Raw genomic sequence first — 22,090 nt, 5'->3', positions numbered from 1 at the left:
ACACCCATCTGTCCTTCATCCAGATCAATCATCGTTAACATGTTCACACATTGGCTTTGCTTACCTCCCTCCCCTATGTATGTATTCACACAAACACATTTTAATTTTGCAGAACCATTTGAAAGTCAGTTGTCAACATTGTAACACCTTACCCTCAAATACCTCAGCCCAGATCTCCTAAACACCAGGGCATTCTCCTGTATAACCAAATGCAATTATCATTCTCTTGGGAGTTACAAACATTCTTATAAATGGCACTACATTTTAGGTATTTTTTAGCCCCTTATTTTTTCTTTCTTTCTTTTCAAAGAGATGAGGTCTCACTATGCTGCCCATGCTGGTCTTAAACTCCTGGGTTCAAGTGATCCCACTGCCTCGGCCTCCCAAAGTGCTGGGATTATAGGTGTGAGCAACTGTGCCCAGCCTAGCCACTTACTTTTTCTAATGAGTGTTACACTTTTAGAATTTATTCATGTTAATACATGTAGATCTGAGTTAATTCACTATATTCTACTAGATGACTATATTTATTTATTTAATACATAGATGGCCACATATGTTGTTTCTAGTTTATGCTACTGTAAACAATGCAGCAAGGAGCGTTCTTGTTCATGTCCCTTGTGCTCATGTGTAGTAGATTTGCTGGGTCATAAGATATGTGCATCTTTGATTTTACTAGATATTGCCAAATCATTCCTCAATATAATACGCAAATGTGTCATTTATTAACAAACATCCTCGCCAACACCAGTATGCTTAGACTTTAACTTTTGCCGTCTCATTGTTTTAGTCTGCATTTCTCTGATCCTGCTTCTTTCTTTCAATGGAAAGCATACAACAGCATTTTCTGGGGAAAAAAAATTGTTTTTTGAGATGGGGTTTCACTCTGTTGCCCAAGCTGGAGTTCAGGGGCACAAGCGTGGCTCACTGCAGCCCCTAACTTCTGGGCTCAAGCCATCCTCTCACCTCAGCCTCCTGAGTAGCTGGGATTACAGGTGTGTGCCTATTTTATTTTATTTTTTGTAGAGACAGGGTCTGGCTATGTTGACCTGGCTGGTCTTGAACTCCTGGCCTCAAGTGATCCTCCTGCTTCAGCATCCCAAAGTATTGGGATTACAGGTGTGACCCAGTGCTCCTGGCTCTGAACATCTTATTCACCATTATGCCCGTCCATCACAGAGTATCCTTTTATATTATTACTTCTCATATTTTCCCCTGCCTAGATGGTCAGCTGCCACTTAATCTGCAGATGACTGCACTATATAATCAAGCAGTGTTCTTTTATCAAGTCAGGAAAGCCTGGGTAAATATCCAAGGACCTCTCCTAGAGGAAAAAATGCAAAAGCTTTAGGAAAGAACACTATCACCAGTTTTCCCCCCCCCATTGGAATAAAAAGATATTTTAACTAAATATTTCCTAGTTCATGATTTTAATATAGATGTTTGGAACCACTAGAAGTCAGATAACGCTGGGCGTGGTAGCTCACGCCTGTAATCCCAGAACTTTGGGAGGCCAAGGCAGGCAAATCCCTTGAACCTAGGAGTTCAAGACCAACCTGGGCAACATGGTGAAACCCCATCTCTTCAAAAAATACAAAAATTAGCCAGGCATGGTGGCATGTGCTTATAGTCCCAGTTATTCAGGAGGCTGAGGCAGAAGGATTGCTTGAGCCCAGGAGGCGGAATTGCAGTGAGCCAAGATCGTGCCACTGCACTCCAGGCCTGGGTGACAGAGCAAGATCTTGTCTCAAAAATAAATAAATAAATAAATAAATAAATAAATAAAATAAGTAAAGTTAGAAAAGTGTGGGATGCATTTCAGAACATTTTAAATCAAAAACACCTAGAGTTAATTATAGTGCTTTGAAAAGGGAGCATTTATTGTCTGGAAAAAAATTTCTTAAGGGATATAAGACATATATAGGAAAATTTCACCCTATAAATACATAGTGAACACCTCTCGGGCATTCTTCTAGGCACGGGAGAAGAGGACATGATTTTTGATTCCAAGGAATTCCATGGTCTAGTGAAGGAGACAAAAAAGAAAAAAATTATTTTGATAAAAACTGATTAGACCTAATTTAATGCTAGTACAAGTTGAGCATCCCTAACCCCAAAATCGAAAATACAAAATCCAAAATGCTCAAAAATCTGAAACTTCTTGAGTGCCAACATGACACTCAAATGAGATGCTGACTGGGGCATGTCAGATTTTCCAATTACAGATGCTCAGCTGGTCAGTATAATGCAAATATTCCCAAATCCAATAAGAGTTCCAAAACTGCGAAACACTTCTGGCCCCAAACATTTTGGATAAGGGATACTTGGCCTATACAGGGTATTGGGGGAGGGAGTACAGAAGGGAATCATGGGCAAGGAACATGCTACTCAGTGGTGGGTAGGATGTCAGTAAACTCTGAAAAAGAAAAGTGCCTCAACAGCACCTTGGGGTCATTGGTGAGGATACTGGTTGGCAGTGGAATGTCCGAGTCTGTATGGCTGAAGAGCATGGTGCCCATGGGAAGAAGCTGGGACACAGGCTGTGACACCCTATGCTGCGACATGAGTAGTGAGTGACATCAAACGTGAGCAGAATGTGTCTTCCCTCATTTGAACTCATTCACTTTAAACAAAGACCTTGGAAATTAAAGAGTGTAGAAACACCTTAATTTCCTTTTTCTGTGAACAAATTGTTCTGTTTCTCAGAGTGCTTCAGCTGCAAGTCAGTATAACTTGCCAGGTTTGCTTCAATCTTATCTACCTCGTGTTTGTAATTATCAAAGTTAGGAAGTTCACAGGCTTAGGTGGCCACTTACAAACATTTGTTGTGGAGTGAAAATGGCCACAATGTGCAGACTTGTTTCAAGTTGACGCTGTCAGTTTGCCAATGTGGTGAGGGCAGGAGGTGTCTTAAACAATGCCTCATATTCAACACACATGTGGGATTCCCCTTCTGAATTGAAGATGGCTTGCCTCTGAAGACTTCTGGTAAATCACCACGTTCTAGGGACAATGAATGGGGTCATTAAGAAGGCAACTCTTCCTTGCTGGGACACAGGCGGAGGAAGGCTTGCATCCAGGTAGTACTAGAACCCACACTTGGACGGTCTCCTGCAAGGCTCAGATCAAACATCTCTCCAAAGCCTCTGCCTTCTCCAAGCTTGAGAAGCCCCTTTCTCAGGTATTTCAGGTGACATTTTATTCCACTTTGTTGGCGCTCACTGCAGGTATTGTAAAGACTCATGTTCCTGTTTGTTCTCTTACATTGTAAGCTCTGGAGGGCTGGGACCCTATCATGCTCTCCTTGGTAGCCACAGAAGTTGTTCGGTAATTGCTAACTGGAGAGGGGGATGCACACACACCAGGCATTCTTCCAGGGCCGGGAGGAAGGGGCTAACGTTGGTCTGATTAATTTCCCAACATACGCCTTCTAGAAGCAAAAGGAAGCATGGACATGTTTGTGGGCTGGTATGTTTGCTTCTATCTTATTTTACTCTCTGAGGCAAAATAAAAAGGGTAAGATGAACTCAGTTAACTTAATATCACCAATTGCTCACTGGAAGTTGTTTGGAATCCATCGTTTCCGAAAACTCCAAGCACAGCAGGGCGCGAGGTTCCCAGATGGCAAGTGGGCTGTCGGGTCTTCATGGGCAGCGGAAACGGGCAAATTGCATTTTGCACAGTCACATACCTTCTCAGCAGAGCCCAACTATTATTTCCTCACCAGTCAAGTAATGCAGGGTGGGGGATGGGGGGAAAAAAGCTGCCCGGAGCCACGGGGAAGGAAAGGCTGGGCAGGCAGGGCCCAAACTTGCTCATACTTTGTTAGTGCCTTTTCTTCCCTTTTGAATAAAATCTGCATTCCCTTTCTCGGAGAAGGGCAGCCGGGCTCCCCACCTAACACAGCCCTGAATGCAGTGGACTTGGTGCCCCAAAGCCAAGCTCCTCAAGGAAGCTGAACCCAGGCCAGCATCACCACAAGAGGAGAAAGGGAGATTGTCCCCCGCCCAGCGCCAACATTTCATTCTCTTCAGAGGCCTCAAAACCCTAATTTGACCACAAAAACCTGGCCTCTGGTGTTTCTGTTATGAGTATCGGATTCCTTCGGCTGAACTTGGCTGTTCACTGCCTGAACAAATTACATTAACAATACAGAGAAATGTATACAGGGCCTTAAAAACACTGCTGAGCAGGGACCAAAACAAAGACAGCCGTGTCCTAGCAACAAACCTCACCACCCCCCTCACCCCCCCCCACCCCCACCCCAGCAGCCTTGGGCTCTGCCAGGGATTGTAAGCCATTGAGCTCCTCTCTTCTCTGCAAACAATTAGGGACAGAGAAGTCACAATTACAGATGGGATTTACAGCCAAAGGAGCAATCTATAAATCACAGTGCTCCCACCCCCGGCCATTCCCAGCCAGATAATCAGAGCCAGATGTTCGGCACAGCTGCTTCAACGTGGGTACACTGTTGGCCAACTCGACCATGTTCCCGCTCTGAGAACCAGCAAAGGCTCCAGCCAAGCCAACCTGCCAAGCAAGGCGGGGGGCCTCTGCACCCTGGAGCCCACCCAACTGTAGGAAAAGTTGCGTTGTGTGGGAACTGTTTGTTGAAGCCATTGTAGAGGTACATCACTGGCGAGGGTATGTGGCTCCCTGGAGTTCCCTCGAACGCTGCACAATTTCGTGATAGTGGTGACAATGACAATCAGCATCTTTAGCATTTATTGATCACCTGCTACGGACTCACCACTGGGTGGAGCACGTTACAGGTACTCCTTTGCTAAAGAACACTCAAGAGTTCACCCAATTCACAAAGAAACGGAACCTGAGAGAGGGCAACTGTTTTTCAGAAGGTCCCGGTGTTAAAGTGGCAGAACAGCAATTCAAAGCTGGATCTGCTTGACCTTGATGCCCCAGGAATCTCATCTAATTGTAGAGGGATGGACAGACTCTGGTTTCAGGGCACAGGGCTGGAGTTTCCAAATTACTCTCTTGATGGTCAAACTAGGAAGAGACTTGCCATTATTTTACTCTCCATAGCTGGCTGGTGTTTTAAATGTCTGGACTGAACCAAATCAGGTTTTTAGCACCTAGGACCAGGGGACAGCAAACTCCAAATATGGTAAAAGCTAGGTTATTCAAATGTTGCCAAGGTGTTTCTGTTCACAGTCCACCTTTATGCATATTTTTCTTTATTGTTACTTATTCACTGAGATATAGCATATATACAGTAAAATGTACACATCTTTTTTAAAACTCGGGGAGCCCCTGTTACCAGAATAGGTTCAGAGCGATTCCCCACATCTTAAATGTACAGCTCAATTAATACATCTGTATAAACTTGTGTCACCACCACCAGATCAAGATACAGAACATTCCAGAACCATTCTAGAGGTTCTTGCATATCCTGTCCCAGCCAACATTCCTCTGCCCCCAAGGTAACTCCTACTCTAACCTTTATCACCATAGACAGTTTTGTTTTTGAGCCTTATTGTGTCTTGTTTTGAATACACATGTCTTTTGTACAGTTTTGGTTATTCTCAGGGTCAAATCAAGGCTCCCAATTCAAAACTACCAACAACGAAAACTCGAGATAACACAACTAGTCCTATCGGCTGGCACTGGCTTTGGGAGACAATTCCACAACATCCCTAACTCCTCCTCATAGGACCCTGCTCCTGGTGACTAAGACTGCCCCTGCCCTCAAGGGGCAGAAAGGCCCCAGGCCATTTGTCTTCGAGCATCACCCGGTAATCGAATCTGGTAGTAACAAGCTGTGTTTACCCCTCTTGCCACCCGTCATCCTTGACACGCTGACAGCCACCATCTTTCACTCCTCAGGAAGTGCAGCAGGGCATGGAGGATGTGGCTGTGGCTCTTCACGGGAGGGGGAGGATGACACAGGCTGGAATGCCTGGGTTCCCTGACACGGTTCAGGCTGCTGAGCATGGCACTCCCCGATCATCCCTCACACCTCTCACCGCCCCGGAGGTGGCTGAGTCAGGGGCGTTCCGGGGTGAGAATGGCAGCAGGAGCATCCCACTGGGGTGGGAGGAAGCCCCCCATCCATGCACAGTGGGACACCCTCTGGATCCAGCCTTTAATTCAGAAATCTGGACAGAAAGCTATGCAAGATATGGGGGCAGTGGGTTGGAGCTGTGAGACGTTTCAGTCGAAATGACACAAAAAGGCTAGCACATCAGACAGAGATTCTGAGAAGAGAAAACACACTCCTGGGTGCTGGGAGGAGGGGCATGGGCAGAATTTTCTTTTCTTGGCCTTCCCTCCAGAGTTTTGACCTCACCCAAAAGCGCAGTACTGCCCACCTTAGCTCCTTGGCACTGCCACAGTTTCACTTCCCAGGGTGGTTATTTTTAGCTGCCCCAAGCACCTGTTTGTTTCCATGACTGTTGAAAATTCTAAATGTGTTGGCATATTATGACATGGGACACTTCCAAGGGATCTAGTGCCATCAGCCGGAAATGGCAAATCCTTAGGAATTTTCACTCTCATTCAAGTATTTATGGCTGATACATAAATACAGTGACCTTACCTTCCAAATAAAACACTGGGGCATAGGATTCCTCAAAGGCTATTTTTGGGTATTACTTCTAAGTGTGAGACAATCAGAGAGGTGTCATTGGGAGGTGGAAACCATAGAATTATAGGATATTCCTGATTTGTAGGGAATATGTCTCATTACCTATAATAAGAACCACTAGAAAATTCATAACTTAAAATCAGTGTAGACACAGGCTACTCTAGAGTTCTGCATTTCGAAGTTTAATACAGTTCCTTGTCATGGCTGCTCCCACCCAAAAAGGAGCTGGGGTCCATTCATGCACCTGGCCCCCAAACCCTCCCCCCACCCCAGCCACAGGGAAACTGGAGGTTTCTCCTGCCCATCTTTGTGCTCCCCTTCAAGGCGTTTTCTGGGCCTCCCTTGGGTCACCAGTCCAGTCTTGCACAACCCCTTCTCACCCCACCCCACACCTCACCCACTTCCAGGACTCCACCAGACAGATTTTCTAGATTCTCTTCTGCTGAGGGACAAGGTTTTGTCACATTCGAGTCCCAGGGGACATCTTAGGGCCATTCCACTTCCCAATCCCGTAATGACACAGAAGGGTCCTCTGACCCTCCCCATGTCTCTGTTTGGACCCCACAGTGACCTTGCCCACAGCCTGCTCAGCGGGTTCGTCTCACCGTCCTGAAGAAGGCTGTGCATGCTCAACCTGGGGGTGATGACATCCTTCCTCAGGGGTCCAAGATACTGACGTGCACCAAGACCCAAACCCATTTGCAACTCACACAGAAACAAAAGAAAACTCATCAGTCATAAAAGGACCCTGCTGACAGCCACTTGACACGGTGCACACTTTCCACCTCTGCGCTTTTACTCTTGCTGTCCCCCTGCCTAGCATGGCTCTTCCCTCTCGCAGTTCAGGCCCAATTCAAAAGACAGGTCCTCTAAAAAGTCCATCAATCCCCAGGCTGTGATGAGTTTTCCTTCTTCCGACCCACAGAGCAAGCACATGAATGCTTCCCAGGGTTGGGCATAGAGGAGTCAAGATAATAACAGCAGCCACAATAATAATTATCAGGTGCTTCTGGGCTTTTACACAGACTGAAGCTCAGCAAATCCCCACAACAAGATCAGGACGCAGGTACTGCCACTGCCCAGATGTACAGAAGAGGTCAGGTAACCTGCTTGAGGTCATGCCAGCTGGTAAGTGGTGGGTCCAGGGTTTGAACCCAGCCCCACTCAGCCCAGACACACCACAGAGCTCTGCAGGAGGGGTGGCCACAGCCCATCTGGGGGCTGCTGACTGTTACCGTGTAGGAATTTGAGCCCATTCTTGCCATACCTCCTGATTTTTTGAGACAGGCTAGAAGTCTGGAATTTTTTTTTTTTTTTTTTTTTTTTTTTGAGATGGAGTCTTGCTCTGTCGCCCAGGCTGGAGTGCAGCGGCGTGATCTCAGCTCACTGCAACCTCTGCCTCCCAGGTTCAAGCGATTCTCCTGCCTCAGCATCCCGAGTAGCTGGGATTACAGGCGCGTGCCACCACATCCGACTGATTTTTGTATTTTTACTAGAGATGGGGTTTCATCATGTTGGCCAGGCTGGTCTTGAATTCCTGACCTCAGGTGACCCACCCGCCTCGGCCTCCCAGAGTGCTGGGATTACAGGCATGAGCTACCATTCCTGGCCGAAAGTCTGGATTTTTACATGCCTTTTTTAACTTTGTAAAATCACTGTTCCTGCCCCAAATCACAGCTACAAGGGATGTGGGCCCACGGGCATAGGTCATGCCTGCTCTAAAGACCAGACCAGGCACTGCCATGTGGGGTCTCCCCTGCTGTGGCCTGGAATTATGATTTCTATGTCTGTGGTTTCAGAAACTCTTCTTGCCTAAATTATAAGCTAGGTGAGGGCAGGGAGCAGGTCCTATAATGCATCGTTTTATGAAATCCCACATAGCTGTTGCCCCTCCTGGAAGGCACAGGGATAGACTTACCTTCATGGAGATCCCACTACGAGCCAGCACTGGATGAGACCCTTCCCATGTGTTGTCTCATTTAATCCTCATAATGACCTGTTGAGGTTGGTAATACTGACCCAGCTCTTTCTTTTTAAACCAGTGAAGATCTAAAGATCAGAGAGGTTAAGTCTCTGACCGAAAGTCACAGACATCAGGGGCAGTGCTGTGCACACACCTTTCAACTCAGAGAACTGATGTACATATTGTTGATAGTCTCCATCGTGGTGGTTCCAGACAATTCCTAAATTTATTAATAAGGAGGAGTTTATGTTTGGCAGGATCTCACCAGAGACATGCCTATCTCTCAGTAAATAAGAAAGCAATTGGATCCCTGGATACCTAAATTCTCAGAGCTCTCAGGCCACTGTTTGTCTTGAAGACAGAAAACTGCCCTAGAGATGAAAGCTATTCAACAATGCGTACTGAATCTCTACTGTGTGGCCTATTTTATGAGTGCAGAAGTCAAGGTGCCTCTGGGAGATAGACCCATCTTGCTGTGTGACGGGAGGCAGTGCAGAGTGGGTGGTGCCTCGCGCAGGTTCCTGGGCTCTGCCACTTGTTAGCTATGTGACCCTTAGGCAGGTTGCTGCGATTCTCCACACTTCATTTTCCCTCCCTGCATGTGGAGGTAATGAGATGATGCTGACCGAAATCGCCACCTCACAGGGCTGTTGTGAGGATTAAATTAGTTAACATACATGTTTAGAATGATGCCTGGCACATGGCAAGTACTCCGGAAATGACCATGTTATTATTTAGAACACTAAGTCGCTATTCCCTTGCCACGCCCCATGGAAGAAAGAGGCCCTAACAGACAAGGACAAAGGGCTGGGAACAACCTGGATGAACCCAGCCCTCCCTCCGCACTGTTGTCTGAAACTTCCTTCAATGGCCTGGTGAAACCTCTTCCTCCCCTGGACAAATCTTGGCTATGGTGTTTTCACTTGACTCTCTTGGGTTTTCCAGGTAGACAATCTGCAAACTGTGATAGTTTTACCTGTTCTTTTCCAACCTTTGCTGTCTTGGCTACTGTGCCAATGCAAAACCCCTGTCCTCCTCTCCTAGCCCTTCACACTTGTCTACCTAGCACCAACCCTATGGCACTAGTGGAGATGCCTGCCAAGGGGAGAAACTACAGGGCTCCAGCCAGGGGCCATAGCTGTGCTGGGCCCTCAGCCTCCCCAGCAGGGCAGAAGGTAGAATGAAGATGGGGATGCCCATGTGTGTGGGGAAGGGGCCAGGCAGGAGCGAGGCCTCTCAGAGGAGGCAAGGGGAAAGGCACAGCTGGGTTACTATAAGGAGCCAGTTAATGGTAACATGGCTGGGAGTGTTCCCCATGGGGCCTCACCCAGGGCTGGTCTCAAGAAATACTGCTGAATCAACACTGACCTGTGAAGACTATATCCAGTTCATCATGGGCACAGCCTAGGTGGGGCCCTTCTGAATTCTCCCCTTTGCCAGGATTCTAAGAATATGGAGATCCAATTGCCTTAGAGTTTACCAAGAGACACCCATGTCTCAAACAGAGATCCCTGCTAAAAAATGAAAACAGTTTCCTAATTCATTAATATTCTAACTGATTTCCCTGTCTGGAACCACCCCAGATCTGCTAAATTAGACTCCCTGGGAAAGGGCTATAGGATACATTTTTAGAGGAAATAAATCACCTCATAATCAGGAAATGCAATAGCTGCCTCGGTGGGTTTCTGTGCAAAGGTGTCGCTCCCCATTGCCTGGGTGTATGTGCCTGTCACCCCTGGGAGACAGCCCCTTAATTCCAGTGCTGCACCTTCTGCGCTTTGGAATGGGCCCAGGAGTCTGCATTTCGACAAGCACCTGTGATGATTCTGAAGCAGGGGTCTGTGGACCACACTCTGAGAATTACTGCCCTGGCATTTTCCAGGTTTGAAGTTCCTGAGCATCCTCTGTGTAGTTTCCCAATCTCTCTTCTCACCCAAGATGCTCCTTAGGGCATTGAGGTTTCAAACAGTGCCTTTTCAGAGCATAAGCAACGGGCAGACCACAGGAAAAGCAGCAGGATTCCCAGCAAGTACTGGCACTGCCACTGAAACACCTAGTTTGGAAAGGGCTGCAGAATGGTCAGCTAAGCCTTTCCATCTCATGCATGTACCCGAATAGGACAAGTGCCACCACCTCACATATAACTGTGTCCACAGTTGCAGGCAAAGGAAGGTGAACAGGTCACTCAGGCCTCCACACCTTTGTGATCCCTCCATTGGAGACAGCAATCACTTTCCTCTTTGGGCTACTGCTTAGAGATATACTGCCTTATTCGCTCTCTAGCCTAACTTAACGAAGGCCAGCTGGTTCTAAGGGCCTTCCTGGCAATCGGAAACAGCTTGCCTGCTACCTGAACTGGATATGTAACATTCGTCTGTCCCACTCGGAGGAAACGCTTACAACCAGACCACCCTGTTTTAATGTGGCGCCTTTCAGATTAAGAGAAATATTTGACCCCGTTATTCTATGACTCCTGTAAAATCCTACAACAGATGCAGAGAAAAATGTAAAGAAATCAATGACATACAAATGAGGCTGAACCTGCCAAGCCCAGAATGTTTTGTAAAGTAATCTTGTTCTTATTAACTTCATATTGTCTCTCAACAGGAGAAGTAAAAAAATTCACATTTTCAATGATCTATTACTTCCTCAAGATAATAAAAAGTAAATTGAAGATATAAAAAATGTGGCCCATAAATATCTTTTTCCCACCCTGGAATTGTCCCTTCCACAAAAAGAGGCAGCTCCCATTTCCATCCTTCCAGAGGCCCTCTTCCACTAAACCTGGTGTATTTAGCTTTAGATGTGTGGCAAAAACTAAAACTGCACCATGAGACAAGATAGACACACAGATAGAATTCACTCTGAAAACATGGAATGGTGAGAATTTAGCCATGAACTGGATACGGTTCATCCCTTCACTTCCTTCGGGTCTCTGCTTATATATCACCTTCTCCATGCGGTGACACACACGGACAACAACATCCCCACCTCTTCTCTCTACCTGCCTTACTCTGCTTTATCTGCTCTATTTGCTCATAGTGCCCTTTCCCACCTGACACGCTGTATACGTATGTCTCTCTCTCCTGCCAGAAGGTGACTTGAGAGGTGACATCTGATTCACTGCAACAGGCCAGTACTAGAAAGTACCCCATACTCAAGTACAGATGTTCCTCCACTTACAACGGGGTTATATCCTGATAAACCCATTGTAGGCTGAAAATATACTAAGTCAAAAATGCATTTAATAGGCCAGGTGTGGTGGCTCACACTTGTAATCCCAGCACTTTGGGAGGCCGAGGCTGGTGGATCACAAGGTCAGGAGATCGAGACCATCCTGGCTAACACGGTGAAACCCTGTCTCTACTAAAAACACAAAAAATTGGCCATGTGTGGTGGCGGGCGCCTGTAGTCCCAGCTACTCAGGAGGCTGAGGCAGGAGAATGGCGTGAACCCGGGAGGCAGAGCTTGCAGTGGGCCGAGATGGCGCCACTGAACTCCAGCCTGGGCGACAGAGCAAGACTCTGTCCCCGCCCCCCAAAAAAAATGCATTTAATAGACGTAATCTACTGAACATCAATGCTTAGCCTAGCCTACCTTACACTCAGAATACTTACATTAGCCTACAGTTGGGCAAAAACACCTAACGCAAAGCCTTTTTAATAACAGTGTTGAATATCTAATGTAATCTGTTGAATACAGCACTGAAGTACGGTTTCTACTGAACGTGTATCACTTTTGCACCACCATAAAATCAAAAAATTGTTCAGTCAAACCATCATAAGTTAGGGGCCATCTCTGCTTGGTGAAAGAACTATTCCAGCTGTCCATCCATCCACCCACCTACCCTTTCACGTTCCATCTACCCACCCTTTAGTAAAAGCTAATGATGAGTGAGGCACCATGATGACCATTTTATAAATGGGTGAAGAGAACAGACACAGTATTTGCTCTTGGAGGGATAGCTAGCCGGCAGCTGTGTGTACAAAAAAATACAAAGCTATGTTTCAGATAAGTGCCAAGGGTGCTGTGAGAAAGGAAAAAGGAGGAACCTGTGTATGATTAGGGAATCAGGGATGTGCAGAGCACACAGGACGTGGGCAGGTGCAGTGGACGGAGCTTGGTGGTTGTGACTGAGGGACAAAGTGGTGTGAAAGACAACAAGGGTCAGGCCACACCTGCCAGCAACCACTGCTTTGTGTGCATGGTAGGTCACAGGCAGTAACTTGGAAGTGAATTCATCAGTGACATGCAAGTATTAACTTTATTTACAAGATTTATAGAAGGGATGAACAAACTTAAAATGTTTGCCCCTACACTGATTATAAAAGAGTACTAAAATCAATTATGAAAATGTGGGTTTAAATTCCTATTTGTTCTGCATCAGTGAAGATGCTTCTTGAGTGTCTGAGAAAAATCTTGGTATGAGGAGTAAACATAGCTAACACATTTTGGGTGACAGAATACCACGCACGCGCCTTAACACTGTTGTTCTGAATGACATTTCTGACCAGAGAGTGGTGTCAACATTCACATTCAGGAGAATGATTTAATGTGTATTGTCCTAAAAACAAATCCTTAAAAGATTGGATTATCTTTTTTTCCTAGAGTAAAATATCTCCTAAGACGTTTGTTTCCTGGGATTAATTTTCTCCTAAAATTATAGTATGTGCAACACTTTTGATTAAATGAGGCTCTCTTTATTGAACTAGAAACTCTTTGAAGGGAGGCATTATCTCTGGACTTCCAGCACTAGGATCAGTGCCTGGCCCACAGGAGATCCCTCAAATATGTTGGATGAGATGAAAGGGTCCCAGTAGTCAAGATTTTGCTGAGTCTGGATTAGCACAAACCCCACTCTCAATATAGTGTCGGCCACATGCTAGCTGTGAGATTACAGGTGATGGGATGGACTTTTTGGGAAATTAAATGAAATCATGACTTACAAAGAGTACCCATCCCAGAGCCTGGGACTTGGCAGTCAATGAATTAGTGGCAGAGATTACTGTTTTGTATTCAAGAAGAACCATGATTGTTCATGCAGCTTTTACACTACCACCTTAACTGCCTTCTATCAGAATCTTACCTTGGCATAAAACCACTAACCCAGTGACACATTTTGTGGTCAAACAGCCCCACAGAGTGACTGCAGAGCGTCTCTGGTCAAGAGCCAACACACAAGATGGCCACCAACAAGGCAAGGTCAGTGGTGTGTGGGTGGAAGAATTGCCACTGACTTCCCACCAAGGTGGACTCAGTACCAATGGGCAAATCACAGGCTCTGTTCTTGAGCCACGTGTGCTCATTTCTCATCATGGCCACTGGCCCTAGCCCCTGCAGACAGGGTACAGGAGCCCAACAAGAGGGAGTTAATAGCCCCAGCTAACAGGTACCTTCACTTGGAACTTTGTCAGCAATAAAGGTATGCTGTGAATTACAGAATGGACTGCCAATCTGTTCTTGGTGACAGGGCTCTGAAGAAAGCATCCAAGTGGATGGCAGTCCTTATCAATGAATTATCCATCTCCAGGATCCAACTAAAGTGGTAACATTCAATTTTTCCATCAAGTCCACTGTTTTAAAGAAGCACAGGTGTGGAGAAAACTGCTTGAGCAGCTAGAATAAAGAATATGGAGGCTGGGTGCAGCGGCTCACGCCTGTAATCCCAACACTTTGGGAGGCCAAGGCAGGTAGATCACTTGAGGTCAGGAGTTCGAAACCAGCCTGGCCTACATGGTGAAACCCCTTCTCTACTAAAAAAAAATACAAAAATTAGCAGGCTTGTAATCCAAGCTACTTGGGAGGCTGAGGTGGGAGGATCGCTTGAACCTGGGAGGCAGAGGCTGCAGCGAGCCAAGATTACACCACTGTACTCCAGACTGGGTAACAGAGACTCTGTATTGAAAAAAAAAAAAAAACAATGTGGGCTGACAAGCATTTCTGCTTGCTGCCCCGGAAGTCTTCTATGAACAGGCCGGGAGTGTAGATGCACACAACAATCTATCTGCACATGAGTCCATCATTTCAAGATACAGGCTTTAGTTGACAATTGGCCATACAGAAGTATGGTATTGCTACAGCCGGAAGACAAAGGCTTTTAATATACAGTTCACTCACGACCTTCAACTCTAGGCCTGCTCAGCACTGAGAGAGAAAATGCAACGTAAATTATGCTGCAAGAGGGCTTTATTTTTCTTTTAAAAAATATCTTTATTCTTTTTCAAGTTCCAAAAGCAATATACATTTATTATTTTAAAACAACTTGAAACTAAAATTGTATTATTTTAAAACAACTTGAAACTAGAATTTCAATTTAGAAAATAAAAATTCTAACCAGAAAAAATTCTAACTAATCCTCCTAATTCTCCTAATCTCATTCCACTTCTAGGTAGTTTTCCCTTTTCTATCTCTAAATATGTTGTTTAAAATATGAAACGCTTCACAAATGTGTGCATCATTCTTGCACAGGAGCCATGCTACTCTTCTCTGTACTGTTCCAATTTTAGTTTATGTGCTGTCAAAGAGAGCCCCAGGTAGTTTTCTGTGTATAGACTAAAGAAAAAAAACAAACAAAACTAAGTAATACCTTCTACAAGTATTTTCTCTGCTTATTAAAAAAAAAAATTTAAATGAGGTATAATTTCTGCCCATTGGATTAATTTAAATTTTTAAAAAGTTGGCAAGGGTATCACTCCCATACTATTCATTACAGTGTAATTTCACAAAGCCTTTTTTTGGATGGTATTTTGGCAGAATTTATTAAAATTTAAAATGCTAGCTGGGCGTGGTGCACGTGCCTACAGTTCCAACTACTTGGTAGGCTGAAGTGGGAGGTTTGCTTAAGCCCAGGAGTTCAAGTCCAGCCTGGGCAACATAGTAAGACCCCGCCTCTACAAAATAAAATAAAATAAAATGCACAAATACTATCAGACCCAGTAAATCTACTACTAGCAATCTATGCTGGAGAAAGACTAGTTTGGGCACACAAAGGTGTGTTCAAGTATGTTCTTTTTTTCTTCTTAACATGCCTACCAACATGGGAATGCTTACAAGGTACATCTCTACTATGGAATACCACACAGTGGCTAATTAGAATGAGGTAAGCGCGTATGTACTGACATCGAAAGGTCTCTGAGATACCCTATTAAGTGGGGGGGGGGGGGGAAGCAAGTTATCAAATAGAAATAACAGAATCCTCTTTGTGTTAAAAAATCCACAAAATAATACATAGTAGTTGTATATGTATATATTCAAACCAGCCAGGAAGAACACACACCAAATAGCAGTGAGTGAAGTGGAGCTAGGCAGAGAGGGGAAAAGAAAATCAAGGAAGAATTTCATTTTACTTGTACTGTTTGATTTTTTTTACCTCCATTAGCAAGCATCTCTTTATTAAATATAAAAAGAATAATGAAATAAATCTTTCATTCAGTTGATATATTTGAGTGTGGCATGAGGTAGGGATCTAACTCCCCCTTCCAAACCGCCCCTCCCTGTATAGTTTGAGTCGTTTAGGAGATTTCCCTTGCGTTCTTTTCATCTATTATCACATCATTATCACTTGCTGTGGCTTTTATAGGATGCTTCAACATCGTTTTCAATACTGTTAAAGGTATCTTTTAAGTTTTTTAAACTTCTTTTTAATCTATTTAGAATTTATTTTCTTCCCTTCTTCCCTTCCTTCCTTTTCTTTCTTTCTTTCCTTTTTTTTTCTTTTTTCTTTTTTTGAGATAGGGTCTCACTCTGTCACCCAGGCTGGAGTGCAGTGGTGTGAACATGGCTCACTGCAGCCTCGACCTCCTGGGCTCAAGTGATCCTCCCACCTCAGCCTCCTGAGTAGCTGTGACTACAGGCACACACCACCACGCCTGGCTAATTTAAAATTTTTTTTTGTAGAGACAGGGTCTTGCTATGTTGCTCAGGCTGGTCTTGAACTCCTGGCCTTAAGTGATCCTTCCATCTTGGCCTCCCAAAGTGCTGGAATTACAGGCGTGAGCCACCATGTCTGATTGGAATATATTTTCTTCTATGGTATACATTTTCCATTTAGCTGAGTCTGATGTATCCATAATCTGAACATGCATTTCAACTAATCTTGGTTATCTACCAAAGAATTAAGATCTTTAAAAATATGACAGTGAGTTTGGCAACTCACCTGTGACAGAGCCATGCAATGTTCTGGTCATGTTCTGGTGTTAAGATACACATAATACCTCAGAAATAAGTTATAGCTTCCCAATGTTAGAAATGCTATTAAAATTGACTGAACAGAGAAACTATGGAGAATACACTTTAACCTTTCATAAGAGTTAGGAGGTACTGGGCGGGCGCGGTGGCTCATGCCTGTAATCCCAGTACTTTGAGAGGCCAAGGCGGGCGGATCACGAGGTCAGGAGATCAAGACCATCCTGGCTAACATGGTGAAACCCCGTCTCTACCAAAAAAATACAAAAAATTAGCCGGGCGTGGTGGCGGGTGCCTGTAGTCCCAGCTACTTGGGAGGCTGAGGCAGGAGAATGGCGTGAACCCAGGAGGTGGAGCTTGCAGTGAGCCTAGATGGCACCACTGCACTCCAGCCTGGGCGAAAGAGCGAGACTCTGTCTCAAAAAAAAAGAAAAAGAGTTCGGAGGTACTTTAGGTTCAAATAGGCCTTTAGAGTCAGTGTTTATCTCTCAATTGAACCTCACAGTACCTTACGTGCCTCACCATTACAATAAGGGACTAGAGCTCCCAAGCCCCGTGGCCTGCTCTAATATTCTAATATGATCAACTTATCTTGCACAGAATGAAGCTGTACTCCTACCTTTTTGGAGTGATAAAATCTGCCTAACACTGTATGTAAAAATTAACTCAGAATTGATCAAAGACCTCTAAGAACTGAAATTATAAATATCTTAGAATAAATTAAAGACATATTTTTTATGACCTAGGACTAGGCAGTGGTTGCTTAGATATGACACCTAAAGCACAAATGATAACAGAAAATATAGCTAAATTAGACTTCATCAAAATTAAAAACTTTTGTGCTTCAAAGAATACTACAAAGAAAGTGAAAAGACAACCCACAGAATGAGAGAAAATATTTGCAAATAATGTATTTAATAAGGATCTAGTACCCAGAATACATAAAGAAAGAGCTCTTGCAACTCAACAATAAAAAGACAAATAACTCAATTTTAAAAGGTCAAAAGAGCCCGGGCATGGTGGCTCATGCCTGTAATCCCAGCACTTTGGGGGGTCCAAGGCAGGCAGATCACTTGAGGTCAGGATTAGAGACCAGCCTGGCCAACACGGTGAAACCCCATCTCTACTAAAAATACAAAACATTAACTGGGCATGGTGACATGTGCCTGTAGTCCCAGCTACTCAGAAGGCTAAGGCAGGAGAATCACTTGAATTTGCAAGGTGGAGGTTACAGTGAGCTGAGATCGCACCACTGCACTTCAGCCTGGGTGACAGTGAGACTCCATCTCAAAAAAATAAAATAAAATAAATAAATAAATAAATAAATAAATAAAAAGTCAAAAGACTTGAATAGACATTTCTCCAGAGAAGACTTAACAATGGCCAATAAATACATTAAAGGGTACCCAACTTCATTAGCCATCAGGAAAAGGTAAACCAAACTACAATGACATACCACTTCACATCCATTAGGATAGCTATAGTCAAAAGGACAGAAAATAATGCCAAGTGTTGATGAGGATGTAGAGAAACCGGAACCCTCATACACTGCTGATGGCAATGTAAAATGGTGTAGCCATTTTGGAAAACAGGCTGGCGGCTCCTCAAATGGTTAAACATAAAGTGACCACGCAACCCAGCAATTCCACTCCTAGATATACAGTTGACCCTTGAACAAAACAGGTTTGAACTTTGTAGATCCACTTACATGTGAATTTATTTCAATAAATATATTGGAACATTTTTTGGAGATTTGTGACAATTTGGAAAAACTTGTAAACTATGTAGCCTAGAAATGCTGAAAAAATTAAGAAAAAGGTATGTCATGAATGCATCAAATCTACGTAGATACTAGTCTATTTTATCATTTACTACCACAAATATCCATAAATCTATCATAAAACATTAAAATTTATCAAAACTTTTGCACACACAGACTGTACATGGCACCATTTATAGTCAGAGAAATGTAAACAAACATAAAGATGCAATATAATCACTGCATAAAATTAAATACAGTGCATACTGTATGACTGTAATAATTTTTTTGTTTTTGTTTTTGTTTTCTTGAGACGAAGTCTCTCTCTGTAGCCCAGGCTAGAGTGCAGTAGTGTGATCTTGGCTCACTGCAACCTCCGCCTCCCAGGTTCAAGCGAATTCTTGTGCCTCGGCCTCCTGAGTAGCTGGAATTACAGGCGCACACCACTGCACCAGCTAATTTTTTATATTTTTTAGTAGAGACAGGGTTTCACCATGTTGGCCAGGCTAGACTTGAACTCCCGACCTCAGGTAATCCACCCACCTCGGCCTCCCAAAATGCTAGGATTACAGACGTGAGCCACCGTGCCTGGCCACTATTGTAATAATTTCACAGCCACCTCCTGTTGCTATTGCCGTGAACTCAAGTGTCGCAGGTAACTCAAGTGTCGCAGGTAACTCAAGTGTCGCAGGTATCCAACAGCTAGATGCTAGTGATCTCTATGTGAGCTGCTCATCTCTCCAGTAAACTGCTTATTCCAGTAAAAAGTGATCTCTTGCGGTTCTCATGTAGTTTTCATCGTGTTTAGTGCAATACCATAAACCCTGAATAATACCATGAGCCCCATATGAAGTGCCACTAGTGATGCTGAAAGTGCTCCCAAGAAAAGAGAAGAGTCATGACATTACAGGAAAAAGTTGAATTGCTTGATATGTACCAGAAATTGAGGTCTGCAGCTGTGTAGTTGCCTGTCATTTCAGACAAACAATTCCTCTTGTAGACAGACAATGTAAACTTATGGTATTAATACAGTATTTTCTCTTCCTTATGGTTTTCATAATAACATTTCCTTTTCTTTAGCTTACTTTATTGTAAGAATACAGTATATAATACATATAGCCTACAAAATAAGTTGTTAATCGAGAGTAGGCTATTAGTAGTTAAGTTTTGTGGAGCCAAAAGTTATACATGGATTTTCGACTGCATGAGGGGTTGGCGTCCTAACCCCTGCATAGTTCAAAGGTCAACTGTATACCCAATATAACTGAAACCATATGTCCTTACAAAAACCTGTACAAGAATGCTCACAGCAGCACTGTCCACAATAGCCAAAAAGTGGAAACAACCCCAACGTCCACCAATGGATGAATCGACAAACAAAATGTGGGATATCCACACGATGGGATATTATCCAAAAATAAAATGGAATGAAGTACAGATACACGCTACAATATAGGTGAACCCTGAAAGCATTAGACTAAGTGAAAAAAGCTGGACATAAAAGGCCACATGTTGTATGACTCCATCTGACGAAATGCCTAGAATGGGCAACTCCATGGAGACAGAAAGTAGAGGAGTGGTTGTCAGGAGATAAAGGAGAGTGACTGCTAACAGCTAAGGGTTTTTTCTGGAATTAGAGAGTGGTGATGGTTGCACAACTCCGTGAGTATACTAAAGCCACTGAACTGCATACTTTAATAAGAGGATGAATTTCATGGTATGTGATTTATATCTCAATAAAATAAATAAATAAGATATATTTTTCAGCTATTAGAGAAATAAAAAAATTATCTTGTATAATATTTCTGGAAATAAATCTGAATCTTTATATCCAACTGGCATACCCCAACAATGACTCCCAACCCTGGCAGCCCATTAGAATCACTCGGGGAGCTTTTAAAGACATACAGACGCTTGGACCTCCTTCCTAGAGATTATGATTTAATTGGTCTGGGGTGGAGTTTGGGGACTGGTGTTTTCAAAAGCTCCCCAGTTGACTCTAATGTGCAGCCTGAGTTGAGAACCACTGCCCTAGAATTTGAGCTTTTAAAAGAGTCCCTGGTGTTGGTTTAGATATCTGTTATTTTATCCTTTCTCATAAACATGAGACAAACAAAATTTTAAATGGCTCACGGTTTCTGGCTGTTAGAACTCAGTAGAACTGGGATTTTATTTTATTGTCTCTTCCACATTTTTTTTAAGATCAGCAGATTGCCATTTTATAGACAGAGAATCTTAAATGCAAAATGGCTAAGAGACATACTGAGATCACCATTGTGAGCTGGGCAGGGACTGAATTACAGTTTCTTCCTTGGGAAGGAAACTGAGTTCTTTTTCTAGTTACTCCAGCCTGAACCATCATGGACATTAGGGACACCCTCTCAGCACAGGTGGTAGGACAGGCAGCATCTTGGCACTGGCAGAGACAGAAAGCCTGGGTGGAGCCTCACAGTCTGGGAAAACTATAAACTCTCAAGTCCACCTTCAGATTTGATGAAATGGAGCCTCCTCCTACCCCCACAAAAAACCTTTTTTCTTTACAGGGCTGGGAAGATGAGGTTTACATCACCTACTTATCTCTGGGAAGCCATCCCAAAGTGCTCACTTATTTAGATCACTACTGGTCTCATTTTCTTTTTTCTTTTTATTTTGGAGAAAGGGTCTCATTCTGTCACCCAGGCTAGAGTGTAGTGTCACAAACACAGCTTACTGCAGCCTCAACCTCTTGGGCTCATGCGATCTTCCTGCCACAGCCTCCAGAGTAGCTAGGACCACAGGCGTGTGCCACCACACCCAGCTAATTTTTTGTAGAGACGGGATCTCACTTTGTTGCCCAGGCTTGTCTCAAACCCCTGGGCTCATTTTTATTACTTTCCCCAAAGCTGCCGAAGTTGGTCAGTTGGGTCTGCATTAGGCTCCCCATTCATTCTGGAGCCCCAAAGCCACTTCTAAATGGCAAAGTCATGGCCAGCGAGGGCTGCTCATTTGTTTAGCTTTGGGAGTCTGTCTGGGCCTGAAACCAGCCCCTGCCTGTGGAAAATGCTCAGAACAGAGGACACTCCAGGCCTCTGAGACCAGAAGTGAGGGAGCCACGGACACCTCTCCCTGAGCTCCGGCTCTGCACCCCCTTCCCTACTTGCCAGCTCAAGGAGTGCACATGAGATGGTGGTGTTTGGGCTCTAATTGTGTTGAGTAATTGCTCAATGATTTTCTATGTAGTTCCCTGGCTCCCCTATCCCACTTTCTCACTCAGCTGTTTTATAAACTGAATTCTAATCTGGGTTTCTTCACAATGTCGCCTTTTACTAAAAGCTAATAAAACCCCAAATGGGAAATTCAGAAGTCGCAGCAATACCACATGACTGTAACTGAAGGTTGTTGGTCAACTTGATTTGGTTTTCAAGCTTGTAGACCATCTGAGGACTTCAGTCTCCCACCCAACTTTGTAGCAATAAAGGTCTTTGTCTTCCCTTGCACTGAACGTGAGTCCTGAACCTTTCTGAGGAGTCCTGCAGACAGCCTCACATGGCCCAGACAGCCCACTGGACCCCTCCTCTGCCACCTCTACTTCCTCACTCAG

General features: G+C 44.2%; 1 protein-coding gene, 1 long non-coding RNA gene and 1 pseudogene across 3 annotated transcripts in view, besides 3 other annotated features; all 3 read right to left on the bottom strand.

Moving 5' to 3' along the window:
* The window catches only part of TCF7L1 (transcription factor 7 like 1), a 176,996-nt gene that overhangs the window by 90,365 nt on the left and 64,541 nt on the right, over positions 1-22,090 (bottom strand). The gene's annotated exons all lie outside the window — the stretch shown is intronic.
* LOC102724579 (uncharacterized) lies at positions 1,854-6,371 on the bottom strand. The gene is made up of 3 exons (NR_136323.1): positions 6,330-6,371; positions 2,817-3,003; positions 1,854-2,023 (listed from the first exon to the last, which is right to left on the bottom strand). It is a non-coding gene; the product is annotated as an uncharacterized LOC102724579 (long non-coding RNA).
* Positions 4,187-5,121: an enhancer, noted in NCBI's record as "H3K27ac-H3K4me1 hESC enhancer chr2:85442025-85442959 (GRCh37/hg19 assembly coordinates)". NCBI's record gives its function as "activates a minimal SCP1, AML or CMV promoter by ChIP-STARR-seq in primed H9 embryonic stem cells {active_cell/tissue: H9 hESC(primed)}" and the evidence as "EXISTENCE:reporter gene assay evidence [ECO:0000049][PMID:30033119]".
* Positions 4,643-4,937: a silencer, noted in NCBI's record as "tiled region #8481; HepG2 Repressive non-DNase unmatched - State 20:ReprD, and K562 Repressive non-DNase unmatched - State 20:ReprD". NCBI's record gives its function as "represses a minimal TATA promoter and a strong SV40 promoter by Sharpr-MPRA in HepG2 and K562 cells {active_cell/tissue: HepG2 | K562}" and the evidence as "EXISTENCE:reporter gene assay evidence [ECO:0000049][PMID:27701403]".
* Positions 5,964-6,465: an enhancer, noted in NCBI's record as "H3K4me1 hESC enhancer chr2:85440681-85441182 (GRCh37/hg19 assembly coordinates)". NCBI's record gives its function as "activates a minimal SCP1, AML or CMV promoter by ChIP-STARR-seq in naive H9 embryonic stem cells {active_cell/tissue: H9 hESC(naive)}" and the evidence as "EXISTENCE:reporter gene assay evidence [ECO:0000049][PMID:30033119]".
* On the bottom strand, positions 14,991-15,097 carry RNU6-674P (RNA, U6 small nuclear 674, pseudogene; annotated as a pseudogene).

The sequence above is a fragment of the Homo sapiens genome, chromosome 2 (assembly GCF_000001405.40).
Source record: "Homo sapiens chromosome 2, GRCh38.p14 Primary Assembly".
NCBI lineage: Eukaryota > Metazoa > Chordata > Mammalia > Primates > Hominidae > Homo > Homo sapiens.
The sequence above is the reverse complement of the archived record's forward strand: the minus strand, read 5'-3'. Positions and strand labels throughout refer to the sequence as shown.